This window comes from Homo sapiens, chromosome 6 (genome assembly GCF_000001405.40).
Source record: "Homo sapiens chromosome 6, GRCh38.p14 Primary Assembly".
Classification (NCBI taxonomy): domain Eukaryota; kingdom Metazoa; phylum Chordata; class Mammalia; order Primates; family Hominidae; genus Homo; species Homo sapiens.
In genome coordinates, this window is record NC_000006.12 from 67,282,417 (window position 1) to 67,302,810 (window position 20,394).

General features: G+C 36.7%; 2 long non-coding RNA genes across 2 annotated transcripts in view; one reads left to right on the plus strand and one right to left on the minus strand.

The window, feature by feature from the left end:
- Positions 1-260: 260 nt before the first annotated feature.
- Positions 261-18,621, minus strand: LOC105377843 (uncharacterized). Its single transcript, XR_942660.1, has 3 exons — positions 18,582-18,621; positions 9,392-9,460; positions 261-339 (listed from the first exon to the last, which is right to left on the minus strand). It is a non-coding gene; the product is annotated as an uncharacterized LOC105377843 (long non-coding RNA).
- LOC105377842 (uncharacterized) overlaps positions 18,259-20,394 on the plus strand; it is a 51,796-nt gene continuing 49,660 nt past the window's right edge. Inside the window, exon 1 of the long non-coding RNA XR_942658.3 lies at positions 18,259-18,577. This is a non-coding gene — a long non-coding RNA (uncharacterized LOC105377842). The remainder of the gene's footprint in view (positions 18,578-20,394) is intronic.

Here is a 20,394-nt window from a genome sequence, read left to right on the forward strand (position 1 = left end):
GAATCCTATGGTTGAGATATTCTAGAAATAAGTCCTCAGGTCTTGCTACTATTCTGTAGATGACAGTAAAGAAGGAAGTAGGAATGATTTCCAAGTGATAAAATGTCAATCTGAGAAAGTCCGTCATCTTGCCAATTCAAGAACCAAATACGCCTTTCTATCTAAATTTAATCTACAAATAAAAATAATAGCAACCACATCATGCTCCTTCCTAACATGATATAATTATACCTTGTTTAAGGATGTTGCTTATTACCTTTGCAAAAGGGAGAACCCAGGACTCATCTATCATTTGCTGCTGCTTCTAGATAAACACAACCTCTCTTCTGATATCTGTAACTTAAAGATATAATTATAAAGGTAATTATACCATCAGATCATTTATAAAATAATAGAAAGGGCAAGAAAATATATTCTTGATTAATATTTATTAAAATAGCTATATAAAAATCAAGGAATAATTTAACTATTACAGTTCTCATTCCCTAGCCAGTCATGAAGCAGTATTTGGTATTTATGACCTTCTTTCAATACGCATCCCAGGCTTGCTTTAATCTCAGTTAACATCTCAGCAAACACCTCAGTTAGTCTTAGAGATTTGTCTAATGGGGTAATCCCAACTGAAGATTTAGTTTTTATTCATCATGCCTAGATTGGGCCTTACTTATTTTTTATTGACTTTTACTACTGAACATGAAAATATTAAGAACAACTTTCCCTGAATCCATGGTTTCTTAATATATTCCTCCTGTCCCTCGTATTTAGCATCAACTATTTATAATAAGATTAGCCTGTATGGCTAGTCTGTTGTAGTTATGGAAGGAGAGCCCAACATAGCCAAATGGAAGTGGCTCATTTCAAGTTCAATAAAAGCATGAATCTGTGCTCTGAAAAGATTTTCTTCTTTTTTGAAGAAAGAAAGTTCTTCTCTTTAGAAGAAAGAAAGTTTCTAAGAGTTACAGATCTTAGTAACCGGAAACAATATGCATACACACATATTTATATGGTTTCTTAGAAATAATGGAGAGATGAACCCTTTCTTCCATTCCTGATTTTCTTGATCCATGTGTTCTGGTTAATGGAGTAATGGCATCACATATTCCAAAGTTGACAAATGGGATCTAATTAAATTGAAGAACTTCTGCTCAGCAAAATAAACTACCATCAGAGTGAACAGGCAATCCACAGAATGGGAGAAAATTTTGCAACCCATCTGTCAAAGGTCTAATATCCAGAATCTACAAGGAAATTAAACAAATTTACAAGAAAAACACGAACAACCCCATCAAAAAGTGGGCGAAAGATATGAACAGACACTTTCAAAAGAAGACATTTATGTGGCCAACAAACATATGAAAAAAGTCTCATTATTACTGGTCATTAGGGAAATACAAATCAAAACCACAATGAGACACCATCTCACGGCAGTTAAAATGGCAATCATTAAAAAGTCTGGAAACAACAGATGCTGGCAAGGATGCAGAAAAATGCTTTTACACTTTTGGTGGGAGTGTAAATTAGTTCAACAGTTGTGGAAGACAGTGTGGCAATTCCTAAAGGATTTAGAACCAGAAATACCATTTGACCCAGCAACCCATTACTGGGTAGACACCCAAAGAATTATAAATCATTCTACTACAAAGACACATGCACAAGTATGTTTTATGCTGCACTATTCACAATAGCAAATGCTTGGAACCAACCCAAATGCCCATCAAAGATAGACTGCATAATGAAAATGTGGCACATATACACCATGGGATCCTATACAGCCTTAAAAAAGAATGAGTTCATGTCCTTTGTAGGAACATAGATGAAGCTGGATACCATCATCTTCAGCAAACTAACACAGGAATAGAAAACCAAAACATCACATGTTCTCACTCATAAGGGGGAGCTGAGCAATAAAAACACATGGACACAGGAAGGGGAACATTTCACACCAGGAACTGTTGGGGGAGGGGAAGGGGAGGGAGAGCATTAGGACAACTAGCTAATGCATGTGGGGCTTAAAACCTAGATTACGGGTTGATAGATGCAGCAAACCACCATGCCACATGCATGCCTATGTAACAAACCTGTACATTCAGCATAAATATCACAGAACTTAAAGTAAAATAATTTTGTAAAAAGAGTATATTCCACTTTTTGTTGAAGAACACCAACTTCTCCCAGCAAGTGCCATCAATGAGTCTTCATTAGACCATTTCACCCATCTAGCTGTCCAACGACCTCTGGATGATATACTATACATGGATGGACTGGTAAATCCAATGGTGTGAGATTTTTCTCACTTTCTCATTTATTTTGTTATAAAATAACTTACATACAGAAATAATGCTCTTTTGGTTATAAGGATAGTGAATATGGCATTTAGGAAGTCCATAGGTTGTTGTACAGGCAGAAGGATTACCGGCAGGAGAAGTATAACTACATATGAACGGAGTGTACGTTTCAGTGAAGACACAGCATTAACTCTGCATCTCTAATCTAATCAACATGCTGTTGGGTGGCTGGCCTGTCCCACTGGGAATGTTTTCAGCTTTGGTCTCTTCTGCTGACAGATAGAAGCCATCAATAGTAGTAAGATCAGTTTTGGTGAGGTGAAATCTATAATTTAAGCCAATGCATAAACCGTATTTTCCTTTAGCCCATTGAACAATCACTGGGTAAGAAAAGAATATGGCAGACATGAACAGAAAAGATTATCTTGACTTATTGAAAACCTCTTCTGCTACTGTGCTGAGCATTCTCATTAAAAATAAATAGCCACATACCCACTCCCTTATTCAAGAATGTTTATTCACATGATTTTTCTCCATTCCATCTTACTAGCAGTCTTTCCATCTGTTTTTCCAAGTGCTCCATCATGAGTTCAAACCACTAGCAACTACTTATGAATACATTCTTCTAACTGTATGCCCCTCTAAGGAAATTTTACAAGCAAATGCACTGTTAAAAAAAATTTGTTTCTTATAGTATTTCTCATCCTTACTCTTCTTCAAGACGACCCAAGACACGAGGTGCGATGCTGAAGCCATTCATTTCACCTGGCATCAACATATTAGAAAGAAACAACCAAAAATCAAGTCACATTGATTTTCTTTTTCTTGACAATTTTTTATAGGAAAATGTATGTTTGTATGTATGTATGCACGCACGTATGCTTATGTGTATGCATTTGCATACATGCACACGTGTTTCTTTCCTCTAAGGTTTTAGATTTGAGGCTTTTTGTATACAGCAAAAACAGATTAGGTATGTTTCCAAAGTCCAACCACAGGGCCAAAAACTCTGTATGTGATTGCAAAAATGTGGGCAAATGTATATGAATCCACCTTCCAGAAAATTAGGGGAAAAGGCAACATATGGCTGAGATTGGGAACACACACATTACTTCTTTATCTCATTAGGTAAAAAGCAAAGAATAAAAGGAAGGAATGGAGAAATGCAATCATTTTCTTCTATTTAATTCTATGTTTGTCAAACTAAACATGTAAAATTAAAGAAGTTAATTTTAGGAGTTTTAATATTACCTCACAGTTGAGAGTATATTGTGCAATATTAAATTCCTGTTGGAAATAATATTGTTGGAAATAAACTATCTTTCCAAGTGAAGATGGTTGAGTTAATTAATTTTGAAACTTCACTACATATAAATATTTCCTAAGCAAAATAGTGAATTCTTGTTTTTTAGCTTAAAAAAAATTATACCTTTGGGAGAACAGGTAAGAGTTGGAGAAGAGAAGAGATGTTTCCAAATTTGAATTAATTTTGTCCTAACTTTAAACCTCTTTAATAAGACAAAGCCTGACTGTTCTTTGCCTTCTATAGCATGATTATGTAAAACAGCCTTGATTCCTTGAATCATCATGGCTATGAACCAAACTAAATATTCCTGCCTAGATTCAAAGCATTGCTGGCCCTCAAATTAGAAGAATGAACTGCATAGTTTTTTTTTCTAGCTTTAGTGGGGATATCCTTAGAATAATAGGATTAGATTAAACAATCTTTTCAAATATCTTGAAAAGCTTAAATAAGGTTAGTGAGTTTACTGTGGTTACAGAAAATTTAGTTTATTTTTATGGTTCCCTTAGAAAATTAAAGTTGATTCCTATCAGAAAAACTGAAAGACAGTAAAAGGAAATGGTTAAGGCTACGGATATTGGCTGCCCAGGTTAGTCTTCTTGAATCTTTCACCTACTTACAGTGTGATATTAAACCATTTTGCCTCATTTGAAAAATGTAGATGTCAAGAAACATACTCCAAAGGTTTTCCTAAGTATCAAGTAATCCAACATATAATATATTAAGAAATTAAATATTCCTGGTACATATCAAAATGCAATAAATGTTAGATCATAATGTTATGAAAATTTTTGTCATATTAAGCACAATTACCTATATAGACATAAAAATATGTCCTGACTCTATACAGCCATAAAAAGGAACAATATCATGTCCTTTGCAGGGACATGGATGGAGCTGGAGGTCATTATCCTCAGCAAACTAACGCAGGAACAGAAAACCAAATACCGCATGTGGGAGCTGAATGATGAGAACACATGGACACGTTGGGGAAAACAATACATACTGGGGCCTGTCAGGGGTGGGGTGTGGAAGGAGGGAGAGAGCATCAGGAAGAATAGCTAATGGATGCTGTGCTTAATACCTGGGTGATGGGATGATCTGTGCAGCAAACCACCATGGCACACGTTTACCTATGTAACAAACCTGCACATCCTGCACATGTACCCCTGAACGTAAAATAAAAACAACACTGAAACAAAAAAAAAGTCCTGATAAAGAATCAATATCAATGTATCAAGCATGCCATTCTTTGTCCACTGTCATGTCAGTCAAAATAGATGCTATTCCATTCAAACTAAGGTCAAAAGGAAAGCACATCTTTTTTAGAGCTAAATTTATATGCAAAATATGGGCCTTTAGTGATTTTTGTGTGGCAGATCAAAACAAGTATGGCTTAAACTAGATAAATGACATTTTACGGAATCATAAAATGTGCCTTTAAACACTTAATGGCTGTAACACATTTTAATTAGCTATCTGGCAAATCAACAGATGTACATGGCCAAACTTGCATAACTGATCTACTAACAATGGTGTTGGTCCTTTTAAAGAGCTTGTAGCATTGCCTGCATTAACTATCTTAATACCTCATTAATTTCTGGCCTGTCCATTTGCAATAGAGATTTTAAAACCATGCCATTTTGAAAATGTCAATAAAGTACATGTTTTTCTTAGTGAACACAGATGTATAGTATATACAAGTAATTTCTCAGAACTGATGCTAGAGCTTGTCAAAAGATGTGACATAATTTGGAATTTTCCTATGCACATGAGTCATAATCTTTACCAGAGTCTGAATGTTTCAATGTTTTCCTTTTTTCAAGGAAGATTTTTTTTTTATTCATGGGGCTGTATAACATATTGGTTTAAAGGTCATACTTTGGAGAAAGACTGCTGGCAATTAAATCCTGCTTCTAACACTTCCTGGCTGTGTGACCTTGGACAACTTGTTGAACTTCATCAGGGCTCTGCTTCTTCATACATGTACCCGAGAACTTAAAGTATAATAAAAAAAAATAAATTTTGGGAAAAAAATAATAATTTCCTCACTGAATTGTTGTAAGTAAGGGAGAAAAACCTATAGGCTTGTGTGAGTTCTTCAGTTAGAAGATTATTTGATTTTAAATTTGTTCATTTGATGAAATATAAAATCAAATATTTCAATCTTCTCTCTTGCAAATAAAACAAAAATAAGTATCTTCTGTTAAGAAGTATATTTTACTGTTTCATTGGTGCATCTTGGAGACATCAATTGTTGCATCACTGCCATATACACATATATATGTATATACAGCAACTCCACATAAAAGGATTTATATATAAATCTTTCTAATATTTGTTATGGTAGCAAGGTAGAAGATAACTCTGCAAGATATTCAACTGACCTAAGGCACATCCTACAGTGTATCATCTCATGCTTGTTTTCTGTCTTTTGTCTCTATCCGGACTTTACTCAAGGTAGGAAAATTCTGTAGGATTCTATCAATGGCTAGCAATAGACATCTTCAAGAGCAGGGGAGGTTACCAGTGAACAAACATTTAACCAATGATAGACAGAAGCTATACTCTTACTTTTATCTTTTCTTCACCCTCAGTGCAAATGATGTAACAAAAATGGAAATTAAGGGAGTAAGAAAACTGGCATAAGACAGGGATGCCCTCTCTCACCACTCCTATTCAACATAGTGTTGGAAGTTCTGGCCAGGGCAATCAGGCAGGAGAAGGAAATAAAGGGTATTGAATTAGGAAAAGAGGATGTTAAATTGTCCCTGTTTGCAGATGACATGATTGTATATTTAGAAAACCCCATCGTCTCAGCCCAAAATCTCCTTAATCTAATAAGCAACTTCAGCAAAGTCTCAGGATACAAAATCAATGTGCAAAAATCACAAGCATTCCTATACACCAATAACAGACAAACAGAGAGCCAAATCATGAGTGAACTCCCATTCATAATTGCTTCCAAGAGAATAAAATACTTAGGAATCCAACTTACAAGGGAAGTGAAGGACTTCTTCAAGGAGAACTACAAACCACTGCTCAATGAAATAAAAGAGGACACAAACAAATGGAAGAACATTCCATGCTCATAGATAGGAAGAATCAATATCATGAAAATGGACATACTGCTCAAGGTAATTTATAGATTCAATGCCATCCCCATCAAGCTACCAATGACTTTTTTCACAGAATTGGAGAAAACTACTTTAAAGTTCATATGGAACCAAAAAAGAGCCCACATTGCCAAGACAATCCTAAGCCAAAAGAATAAAGCTGGAGGCATCACGCTACCTGACTTCAGACTATACTTAAAGGCAGCAGTAATCAAAACAGCATGGCACTGGTACCAAAGCAGATATACAGACCAATGGAACAGAACAGAGCCCTCAGAAATAATACCACACATCTACAACCATCTGTTCTTTGACAAACCTGACAAAAACAAGAAATGCGGAAAGGATGCCCTATTTAATAAATGTTGCTGGGAGAACTGGCTGGCCATTTGTAGAAAGCTGAAACTGGATCCCTTCCTTACACCTTATACAAAAATTAAATCAAGATGGATTAAAGACTTAAATGTTAGACCTAAAACCATAAAAACCCTAGAAGAAAATCTGGGCAATACCATTCAGGACATAAGCATGGGCAAGGACTTCATAAAGCCAAAATAGACAAATGGTATCTAATTAAACTAAGGAGCTTCTGCACAGCAAAAGAAACTACCATCAGAGTGAACAGGCAACCTACAAAATGGAAGAAAATTTTTAGATTCTACTCATCTGACAAAGGGCTAATATCCAGAATCTACAAAGAACTTAAACAAATTTACAAGAAAAAAATCAAACAACCCATCAAAAAGTGGGTGAAGGATATGAACAGACACTTCTCAAAAGAAGACATTTATGCAGCCAACAGACACATGAAAAGATGCTCATCATCACCGGCCATCAGAGAAATGCAAATCAAAACCGCAATGAGATACCATCTCACACTAGTCAGAATGGTGATCATTAAAAAGTCAGGAAACAACAGGTGCTGGAGAGGATGTGGAGAAATAGGAACACTTTTACACTGTTGGTGGGACTGTAAACTAGTTCAATCATTGTGGAAGACAGTGTGGCGATTCCTCAAGGATCTAGAACTAGACCACTTGACCCAGCCATCCCATTACTGGGTATATACCCAAAGGACTATAAATCATGCTGTTATAAAGACACATGCACACATATGTTTATTGCGGCATTATTCACAATAGCAAAGACTTGGAACCAATCCAAATGTCCAACAATGATAGACTGGATTAAGACAATGTGGCACATATAGAAAATGGAATACTATGTAGCCATAGAAAATGATGAGTTCATGTCCTTTGTAGGGACATGGATGAAGCCGGAAACCATCATTCTCAGCAAACTATCACAAGGACAGAAAACCAAACACCTCATGTTCTCACTCATAGGTGGGAATTGAACAATGAGAACACTTGGACACAGGGTGGGGAACATCACATACCGGGGCCTGTTGTGGGGTGGGGAGAGTGGGGAGGGATAGCATTAGGAGATATACCTAATGTAAATGACAAGTTAATAGGTGCAGCACACCAACATGGCACATGTATACATATGTAACAAACCTGCATGTTATGCACATGTACCATAGAACTTAATATATATATATACTTTAAGTATATACTTTATGTATATATATACACATATACTATATATATACTTGATGTGTGTATATATATATATATATATATACACACACATAAAAGAATCCAACAGGATCATACTCCGCATACTATTTTATAATCTTTTTCACATAATGCATTGTGATCATATTTCCATGTTAATAAATAGATTTCTATGACAAAAAAAAAAACAAAGAAAAGTTAGGAAAGAAAGAAACCTCAATAAAACCTTGTGCTTGGAGAATTGCTTGAACCTGAGAGGCGGAGGTTGCAGTGAGCAGAGAACACACCACTGCACTCCAGCCTGGAAACAAACAAACAAACAACAACCAAAAACACTTGGCACCTGAGCCAGGCACAGTGGCTCACACCTGTAATCCCAGCACTTTGGGAGGTGGAGGTGGGAGGGATTGTTTGAAGCCAGGTGTTCAAGACCAGCCTGGGCAACAAGCCAAGACTCTATTTCTACATATTTTTTTAAATTATCCTTGAGAAGTGGTGTGCCCTTATAGTCCCAGTCACTTGTGAGGTTGAAGCAGGAGGATTGCTTCAGCCTCAGAGTTTAAGGCTGCAGTGAGCTATGATCATGTCACCGCATTTCAGTCTGAGCGGCAGAGCAAAACCCTAATAACACTGTGCCTGGCAATTATAACTTTAGAAATACCTTTACTTTTAAAGAATGTTTTGAATTTCATTTCCTGAGAAAGAAGACACTCTGCATAGAAAGAATTTCCTAGATACAATTAATGCACAGAGCCAAGATCAGCTTCTACAGAGATATTTCCCTCAATTGAAATTATTTTCACAGGATATGGCATAAGAATAATGACAAAACTGACTGCCTTTCTCTCAAGAGTAAAATTGAGCACTCCATTGATCCTTTGGTCCTCAGATACCACTAAATCTCAACATTCATCTTGGACAATACTTAATATTATATGATATAAAAATAAATTAGGTCGGAACAACGTCTAAAACACTAAGTATTGACTTGCTGTCTAAGAGTAACAGGTGAACAGAGACTGCTGGGCCACTACTGTGCTCTCTAGTAATCTATAATACTTATTTTAAAAGGAGGCATGTCGTACACATGACATTGATCTAATTTACCTGCAGAGGTCCTAAAGGATACATATTCATGCAGTAGATGGGGAATGCTGAAGAAATATCAGCTCCACTCTGGAAGAGAAAATTCCTGAGGTTAGACTGAGCAGAATTTTTTTTTTTAAATTGAGTTTAATTCCTTTGGAATTTTAACTCAAAAGATCAAAAAAATCTGATTTTGTCTTTTAATTTTTTCAACCTCCAGGGCTTGACTTGCAAAGGAATTTAATTGGAGATTTTAATATCTCTCTAGCAATTAGAAAATGGAACGTTGTGTGAAAATGTGAGGCCGCAGTATGCTTTTGACAGTTTATTTTTGATATCTATAATATTTGATTATTGAAGTATATTTCTGATTATATTTAATTTTATTGTTAATAGCACATGTGATTGGCTATGTTGTGCAATGCAGATAGACATCTTTTAGAGAACAACAAAAATAGGAAGAGAACTTTTAAATCTGAATTCAATATATTCTTGTAGTAGATATGCCTATTTCATTGTTTGATCTACGAGGACAAAACTTTGTAGGCTCAAAAACAGTCTTATAAAACAGTCACAAGGGACAGCCTGTAAGTGCAAACACAATGAAGATGGGAGACTGATAGACTGCAATACCCAGAATGATGGTCATATATCTGGCTGAACAGTAATTCAAGGTTTAAACCAATAAGTTGCGAGGTCAAATACCTGAGAATGTCAGAAAACAAAAATCCTTAAGGCAATTCCTTGCAGGGAATTGTCCTCAAGATATTAGCAGAGCTTGTTAAACCATCCCTGAAAGCATCCTGTCTCTTTGTTTGTTGCTTGACCTTGAAATCCACGGGGTAGGCAGTCAGAAAGCAAGAAGGGTAAAGTGAGGGTAAACTGAGGTCAGCATGAATGCCACATGCTTGGTCTGGAACCCCACAAAAAAAAGACTGAAACCTGTGTCAGTTTTTTATGTTGTTGACCCTGGTAACTAGTCTATTCTGCAGTAGCTGTTTAGACACAGAAATAAGCACTCACACCTAGACCAGTACCCAGAGAGGTCTAACAAGGATCTAGGGGAAGATAAAAGCATCTGGAGGCTCTGCTACTTCTTTCAGACACAGGTAAGTCATCAGGTTAGCAACTGTGTGTATAAATTACAAAATGGCTGCTGATTCCCCTAGCCCTCCAAATCTCCAAAGAATCTCTCGTGTTTTTCACCCTTATTGAAAACATAATGAAAAGGGAATTCTGGGAAATGTAATTCAGCCCTCTAGTTACCTTATTAAAAAGTCACCATGCCACTCCTTCCCCATTCAAAGTGGAGGGATTCTCTTTGGATTCTGACAAAATCCTTCTTTTTTTTTTTTTTTTTCTGTAGATAGTGTTGGAGCAAGTGACCTAATGATGGTGGTAGCAGGTAGCATTTGTTTATGTTTCTTTATTTAGGGAAATAAATCTCTTTAAATTTTGAACATGGGAAAAATCTTGACCTATTAAAGGCAGTGACCTAGAAAAGAATATCTGCTTTGTCGAGTCAATCTATCTTTCAGTGGGCTGCCTCAAGTTTTGCACTGGAGAGTAGATGATCAGCAAGCCCTTTTAGTTTTCACAACCAAGCCAGATTCTCCAATATACTTTATATCAGTAACAATGTTTCCATTTTGTTTTTGTATTTTTAAGTAAAATATTTTATTTCTTAATTTAGAAACTGATAAAGATCCTATTTATTGAGCCTATGATTTTATAATAAAGATATAAATAAAATGTTTTAAAATTATGACATGCACCACGATATAATTTTCTTTACAAATAATATTTTTTAAAGGTGCTATTTATCTTTTTTGACCAATTTTAGTGTGAGAAAATTGCCTTGAATATATCTGCTCAGCTCAGGTTTCTAACTATAATATCTAAAGTGATTATTTAACTAAAAGTCTCTGCTAAAATGCCAAAAATATATGATATATATTGGAAAATGCTAAGCTCCTAACCTGAAATAAGAATTTTGCCAATTGCCTCATAACAGTTAGATATACATACATATATATATAACTGTTATATACGTATATACCTATATGTATATAGCCTATATACGTATATGCCTATATGTATATAGCCTATATACGTATATGCCTATATGTATATAGCCTATATACGTATATAGCCTATATGTATATAGGCTATATACATATAACTGTTATATACATATATACCTATATATTTATATATGTAAATAATATACAAGTACACACATACATATATACATATATTTATAAAATGTGTATATTGATGTGTTTTTTTTATTCCTATAATTAATACTGCTCCATGATATTCATTATTTCAGGATGAAGTTGTTGACTTTTATAGTGGTAGAGAATAACATTGTCATATTATTGTAATACGTCCTTCAAAAACCAGATCTTGGTACATTGAGTATATGTTTAAAAAAAATCTTATAGAAAATTTTATTCTGCTTCTCATCAAAATTGACCTGGGCCATGAAAGCATAAAATCACAGAATACAGAAATGCAGTACTGCTGAGGTAAAGGTATATGCCTTGTTTTTAAAAACTGAACCCCAGAAGTCATAGTGAATTCTCGGGTATACTGGACTTGAACAAGTGAAGAAGATACCTGTGTTCTCCTTCTTAGCTAGAGTTCTGAAACATAACAAAATAGGACAACACTATTGTGAACTCAAGAACAAAGAGAGCAGTGTGAGCTAAGTAGCTAAAGAGGTTCAGAATGGCTGTAGAACATCCTCCCGAAATTCTCTTTTCTTTCTTTTTTTTTTATTACACTTTAAGTTCTGGAGTACATGTGCGGAACGTGCAGTTTTGTTACTTAGGTATATAGGTACCATGGTAGTTTGCTGCACCCATCAACCCATCACCTACTTTAGGTATTCTAATGTTATCATTCCCCTACCCCCGACCCACTGACAGGCCCTGGTGTGTGATGTTCCCCTCCTATGTCCATGTGATCTCATTGTTCAACTCCCATTTATGAGTGAGAACATGTGGTGTTTGGTTTTCTGTTCTTGTGATAGGGTGCTGAGAATGATGGTTTTCAGCTTCATCCATGCCCCTGCAAAGGACATGAACTCATCCTTTTTATGGCTGCATAGTATTCCACAGTGTATATGTGCCACATTTTCTTTATGCAGTCTATCACTGATGGACATTTGGGTTGGTTTTATACAGTCTATCATTGATGGACATTTGGGTTGGTTCCAAGTCTTTGCTATTGTGAGTAGTGCCACAGTAAACATAGGTGTGCATGTGTCTTCATAGTAGAATGATTTATAATCCTTTGGGTATATCTCCAATAATGGAATAGCTGGGTCAAATGGTATTTCTAGTTCTAGATCCTTGAGGAATCGCCACACTGTCTTCCATAAAGATTGGACTAATTTACACTTCAACCAACAGTGTAAAAGCATTCCTATTTCTTCACATCCTCTCCAGCATCTGTTGTTTCCTGACTTTTTAATGATCACCATTCTGACTGGTGTGAGATTGTATCTCATCGTGGTTTTAATTTGCATTTCTCTAATGACCAGTGATAATGAGCATTTTTTCATGTCTGTTGGCTGCATAAATGTCTTCTTTTGAGAAGTGTCTGTTCATATCCTTTGCCCACTTTTTTTTTTTTTTTTTTTTTTTTTTTTTTCTGAGACAGAGTCTCGCTCTGTCACCCAGGCTGGAGTGCAGTCGTGTGCTTTGCCCACTTTTTGATGGAGCTGTTTTTCTCTTGTAAATTTGTTTAACTTCTTTGTAGATTCTGGATACTAGCCCTTAGTCAAATGGATAGATTGCAAAATTTTTCTCCCATTCTGTAGGTTGCCTGTTCAGTCTGATGATAGTTTCTTTTGCTATGCAGAAGCTCTTTAGTTTAATTAGATCTCATTTGTCAATTTTGGCTTTTGTTGCCATTGCTTTTGCTGTTTTAGACATGAAATCTTTGCCCATGCCTATGTCCTGAATGGTATTGCCCAGATTTTCTTCTAAGATTATTATGGTCCTAGGTCTTACATTTAAGTAATTGATCCATCTTGAGTTGATTTTTGTATAAGGTGTAAGAAAGGGGTCCAGTTTCAGTTTTCTGCATATGGCTAGCCAGTTTTCCCAGCACCATTTATTAAATAGGGAATTTTTCCCCATTGCTTGTTGTGTCAAGGTTGTCAAAGAACAGATTGTTGTTGATATGTGGTGCTATTTCTGAGGGCTCTGTTCTGTTCCATTGGTCTATATCTCTGTTTTGGTACCAGTACCATGCTGTTTTGGTTACTACCACCTTGTAGTATAGTTTGAAGTCAGATAGCATGATGCCTCCAGCTTTGTTCTGATTGCCCAGGATTGTCTTGGCTATGCAGGTTCTTTTTTTGGTTCCATATGAAATTTAAAGTAGTTTTCTCCAATTCTTTGAAGACAGTCATTGGTAGCTTGATGGGGATAGCATTTAATCTATAAATTACTGTGGGCAGCATGGCCATTTTCATGATATTGATTCTTCCTATCCATGAGCATGGAATGTTTTTCCATTTGTTTGTGTCCTCTCTTATTTCCTTGAGCAGTGGTTTGTAGTTCTCCTGGAAGAGGTCCTTCACATCCCTTGTAAGTTGTATTCCTAGGTATTTAATTCTCTTTGTAGCAATTGTGAATGGGAGTTCACTCATGATTTGGCTCTCTGTTTTTCTGTTATTGGTGTATAGGAATATTGTAATTTTTGCACATTCATTTTGTATCCTGAGACTTTGCTGAAGTTGCTTATCAGCTTAAGGAGATTTTGGGCTGAGATGATGGGGTTTTCTAAATATACAATCATGTCGTCTGCAAACAGAGACAATTTGACTTCCTCTCTTCCTATCTGAATACCATTTATTCCTTTTTCTTGCCTGATTGCCTGGGCCAGAACTTCCAAAACTATGTTGAATAGGAGTGATGAGAGAGAGAATCCTTGTCTTGTGCCAGTTTTCCAAGGGAATGCTTTCAGTTTTTGCCCATTTAGTATGATATTGGCTGTGGGTTTGTCATAAATAGCTGTTATTATTTTGAGATACATTCCATCAATACCTAGTTTATTGAGAGATTTTAGCATGAAGGCTGTTGAATTTTGTCAAAGACCTTTTCTGCATCTATTGAGATAATCATGTGGTTTTGGTCGTTGGTTCTATTTATGTGATGGATTACGTTTATTGGTTTGCATATCTTGAACCAGCCTAGCATTCCAGGTATGAAGCTGACTTGATCCTGGTGGATAAGCTTTTTGCTGTGCTGCTGTATTTGGTTTGCAAATATTTTGTTGAGTATTTTCACGTCAATGTTCATCAGGGATATTGGCCTGAAATTTTTTTGTTGTTCATGTGTATCTGTCAGGTTTTGGAATCAAGATGATGCTGGCCTCATACAATTACTTAGGGAGGATTCCCTCTTTTTCTATTGTTTGGAATATTTTCAGAAGGAATGGTAGCAACTCCTCTTTGTACCTCTGGTAGAATTTGGCTGTGTATCCATCTGGTTCTGGACTTTTTTTAGTTGGTAGGCTTTTAATTACTGCCTAAATTCCAGAACTTGTTATTGGTTTATTCAGATATTCAACTTCTTCCTGGTTTAGACTTCAGAGGGTGTATGTGTCCAGGAATTTATCTATTTCTTCTAGATTTTCTAGTTTATTTGCATAGACGTGTTTATAGTATTCTCTGATGGTAGTTTGTATTTCTGTGGTATCAATGGTGATATCCCCTATATCATTTTTTATTGTGTCTATTTGATTCTTCTCTCTTTTCTTCTTTATTAGTCTTGTTAGTGGACTATCTTTTTTGTTGATCTTTTCAAAAAACCAGCTCCTGGATTTATTGATTTTTTGAAGGGGTTTTTGTGTCTCTATCTCCTTCAGTTCTGCTCTCATCTTAGTTATTTCTTGCCCTCTTCTAGCTTTTTAATTTGTTTGTTGTTGCTTCTCTAGTTCTTTTAATTTTGATGTTAGGGTATCAATTTTAGATCTTTCTTGCTTTCTCTTGTGGTCATTTAGTGCTATAAATTTCCCTCTACACACTGCTTTAAATGTGTGCCAGAGATTCTGGTATGTTGTGTCTTCATTCTCCTTGGTTTCAAAGAATATATTTATTTCTGCCTTCATTTCATTATTTACACAATAGTCATTCAGGATCAGGTTGTTCAGTTTCCATGTAGATTTGTGGTTTTGAGTGAGTTCTTAATCTTGAGTTCTAATTTAATTGCAATGTGGTCTGAGAGACTGTGTGTTATGAATTCCATTCTTTTGCATTTGCTGAGGAGTGTTTTACTTCCAAATATGTGGTCAATTTTAGAATACGTGTGATGATGTGCTGAGAAGAATGTATATTCTGTTGATTTGGAGTGGAGAGTTCTGTAGATGTCTATTAGGTCTGCTTGGTCCAGAGTTGAGTTAAAGTCCTGAATATCCTTGTTAATATCCTGTCTCATTGATCTGTCCAATATTGACAGTAGGGTGTTAAAGTCTCCCACTATTACTGTGTGGGAGCCTAAATCTTTTTGTAGGTCTCTAAGAACTTGCTTTATGAATCTGGGTGCTCCTGTATCAGGTGCATATGTATTTAGGATAGTTAGCTCTTCTTGTTGCATTGATCCCTTTACCATTATGTAATGCCCTTCTTTGTATCTTTTAACATTTTTGGTTTAAAGTCTGTTTATCAGAGATTAGTTTTGCAACTTCTACATTTTTTTTCTTTCCATTTGCTTGGTGAATATTCCTCCATCCCTTTATTTTGAGTCTATGTGTGTCTTTGCACATGAGATAGGTCTCCTGAACACAGAACACTGATGGGTCTTGACTCTTTATCCAATTTGCCAGTCTGTTCTTTTAATTGGAGCATTTAGCCCATTTATATTTAAAGTTAATACTGTTATGTGTGAATCTGATTCTGCCATTATGATGCTCGCTTTGCCCATTAGTTGATGCAGTTTCTTCATAATGTCCATGTTCTTTACAATTTGGTATGTTATTGCAGTGGCTGGTACTGGTTGTGCCTTTCCACGTTTAGTGCTTCCTTCAGGAGCTCTTGTAAGGCAAGACTGGTGGTGACAAAGTCTCTCAGCATTTGCTTGTCTGCAAAGGGTTTTATTTCTCCTTTGCTTAATGAAGCTTAGTTTGGCTGGATATGAAATTCTAGGTTGAAAATTCTTCACTTTAAGAAGGTTGAATATGGACCCCCACTCTCTTCTGGCTTGTAGGGTTTCTGCAGAGATATCTGCTGTTAGTCTGATGGGCTTCCCTTTGTGGGTAACCCGACCTTTCTCTTGGGCTGTCCTTAACTTTTTTTCCTTCATTTCAACCTTAGTGAATCTGACAATTATGTGTCATGGGGTTGCTCTTCTTGAGGAGTATCTTTGTGCTGTTCTCTGTATTTCCTGAATTTGAACGTTGGCCTGTCTTGCTAGGTTGGGGAAGTTCTCCTGGGTAATATCCTGAAGAGTACTTTAGAACTTGGTTCCATTCTCCTCATCAGTTTCAGGTACACCAATCAAATGTAGATTTGGTCTTTTCACATCGTCCCATATTTCTTGGAGAGTTTGTTCATTCCTTTTTATTCTTTTTTTTTAATAATCTTGTCTTCTCTCTTTATTTCATTTAGTTGTTCTAAGGTCACTGATATCCTTTCTTCCACTTGATTGATTCGGCTATTGAAACTTGTGTATGCTTCATGAAGTTCTCGTGCTGTATTTTTCAGCTCCATCAGGTCATTTATGTTCTCTATATTGGTTATTCTAGTTAGAAATTTGTCTAACCTTTTTTCAAGGTTCTTAACTTTCTTGCGTTGGATTAGAACATGCTCTTTTAGCTCAGAGGAGTTTGTTATTACCCACCTTCTGAGGACTACTTCTGTTAATTCATCAAACTCATTCTTTGTCCAGTTTTATTCCCTTGCTGGTGGGGAGTTGTGATTCTTTGGAGTAGAAGAGAAATTCTGGTTTTTGGAATTTTCAGTCTTTTTGAGCTGGTTCCTCCCCATCATTGTGGGTTTATCTACCTTTGGTCTTTGATGTTGGTAACCTTTGGATGGGGTCTTTGAGAGGACATGCTATTCTTTTCTGTTTATTAGTTTTCCTTCTGACAGTCAGGCCCATCTGCTGCAGGTCTGCTAGAGTTGGTGGAGGTCCACTCCTGACCCTGTTTGCCTGGATATCACCAGCAGAGGCTGCAGAACAGCAAAGATCTTTCCTCTGGAAGCTTCATCCCAGAGGGGCACCTGGCAGATGCCAGCCAGGTCTCTCCTGTATAAGGTGTCTGTCAGTCACTACTGAGAGGCATCGCCCACTCAGGATACACAGGGGTCAGGGATCCACTTGAGGAGGCAGTCTGACCCTTAGCAGACCTTGAATGCTGTGCTGGGAGGTCTGCTCCTCTCTTCAGAGCCATCAGGCAGGGACATTTAAGTCTGCAGAAGCTGTGCCCACAGCTGCCCCTTCCCCCAGGTGCTCTGTCCCAGGGAGATGGGGGTTTTATTTATCAGACCCTGAATGGGGCTGCTAACTTTTTATCAGAGATGCCCTACCCAGAGAAGAGAAATCTGGCAATCTGGCCACAGCAACCTTGCTGAGCCACAGTGGACTCCACCCAGTTGGAACTTCCCAGTGGCTGTTTACACCGTGAGCATAAAACCGCCTACTCAAGCCTCAGTGATGGTGGACGCCCCTCCCCCCACCAAGCGGGGGGCATCTCAGGTTGATCTCAGACTGCTGCTGTGCTGGCAGTGAGAATTTCAAGCCAGTGGATCTTAGTTTGCTGGGCTCCATTGTGGGTGGGACCTACCGAGCCAGACCACTTGGCTCCCTGGTTTCAGCACCCCTTTCCAGGGGAGTGAATGGTTCTGTCTTGCTGGCAGCGTTCCAGGCACCACTGGGGTATGGAAAAAAATAACTCCTGCAGCTAGTTCAGTGTCTGCCCAAATGGCAGCCCAGTTTTGTGCTTAAAACCGGGGCCCTGTTGGGGTAGGCACCACAGGGAATCTACTGGTTTGTGAGTTGTGAAGACCATGGGACAAGCGTAGTATCTGTGCCGGAGTTCCTTAGGCTCAGACTGTCATGGCTTCCCTTGGGTAGCGAAGAAAACTCCCAACCCCTTGTGCTTCCTGGCTAAGGCGACGCCCCACCCTGCTTTGGCTTGCCCTCTGTCTGCTGCACCTACTGTACAACCAGTCCCAATGAGATGAACCAGGTACCTCAGTTGGAAATGCAGAAATCACCCAATTCTGCGTAGATCTCGCTGGGAGCTGCAGACCTGAGCTGTTTCTATTCGGCCATCTTGCCATCAACCCCCACTCTCTTTTCTTTATTGAAACAGCTAAATTGGCTAATAAGATGATATTATTAAATTTAGTGAAAATTTTTTTTTACTTTTATGTAGTAATAAAGTAAGAAGTTTTACTATATTTAAAGCACACTTAGATAAGAGAAAATACATATTGAAACTTGTGACATGAGAGGGAGTAAGAGCTCTCCAAGGTTTGTAGATTTATTTGTAACAATGTAACCTAAGTTTTACAAGCTCATAAAGCTTGTAACGAGATTTTAAGAGAATTAAACGTAGGTTAAATTGTTAAAAATGATGAATGTAGTTTCATTATATGTACAAGAGAAACTTAAAAACCTGAGCCTGTTTGCAAAAACATACCAGAAACTTGGCTCCCAGAGGAGCTCCATTGCCCTGAGAAGTCTACTGGGGTATGTGGAGAGTAGAACAGCTTATGTCTGGAAAAATGGGCTGAGATTGACCATTCGGCTGACATAGGGCATGTGGCAGATCCAGACATTTCTACATGCCTGTTTTTGAAACACAGAAATACTGAGAAGGCAAATACTCCAGAATGTACCTGGACTTGTCTGTAATGTGTAGCTGACCAAATATAGCCATTCTTTTTTTTCAAATGATCTTACATAATTATGTATTGATACATGACTATAAGTAGTGAGAAATGATATAGGTATCTCGGTGGAAGTTAGTGAAAATCCAATATCAACAAGTGGTCTACATTAAATCTAAGAAATTATTTTCTGACTATGGAATTCTAGAAGTCACTCTATGTCTGCTTTTGCCTAATATAATTATGTTCAGGCTTTCCTTCAGTTTTATAACTTTCCTTGTAAACTTTTATTTATTTTTAAAATCATTATTATTTTGTTATTCACAATATGTTTCTATGGATTGCTAACAAAACAAAAATACCAATTAAGAAATTGATCATGGTCATGAGGCAACAGAAAATAGAAAAAATGTACAACAGTTGGAATTGTTTACTGCATTAAGATCTAATAAAAAAATGCAAATACCCATCTGTAGTCCAGAATAAGAAAATTTGAAGCACATGGTTTTTAGGGAAAGATGAATAAAACTAATCCAGAGCCTATAATCACCTGAGGCCTTGTACTTACTAAGATTAATACTCTGATGTCAACATATCTGCTACCATGGGCCAATTAATAAAGGATTTGGTGTTTTAGCTTTAAACAACTGGAATTTTGAATTAGATCTGTCATAAGCAATATTCTCCCAAGATTCAAAAAACATCCCTTTCTTCACATCACAAAGAATAAACTGGTAAATATATATGCCAAAATTCTTAAATAAATAAAATTACTTTTGCAGTTTTTTAAAATTATTATTAAAGTTGTGTATGTAAGAGATAAATGTTTAAACAAACAGTCTCATAACAGAAACAGAGAGAGACTGAGACACTGGAGTCCACATGCTTTGTGTAACTAATAATAAACATATGTATAAGGTTATCATAAGAAGTTGTAGGGTAAGCATGCTAATCTTAATTCAGCAAGTGGTACATATGCTATACACTTTGGATATAGTTACTTAATCTTGGAACTCTTAGGAAAGAAATGAAGAGTCCATATACTCACAAAGGTATAACTAAACTTGTTTAAACTAAGGAAAGTACCACCTATTCATGCGTTTGGAAGAGAAATGGAACTTAACTACCACTGTAGATAGTTACTGTCTCTCACCCAGGTCTGGGTCAAAGA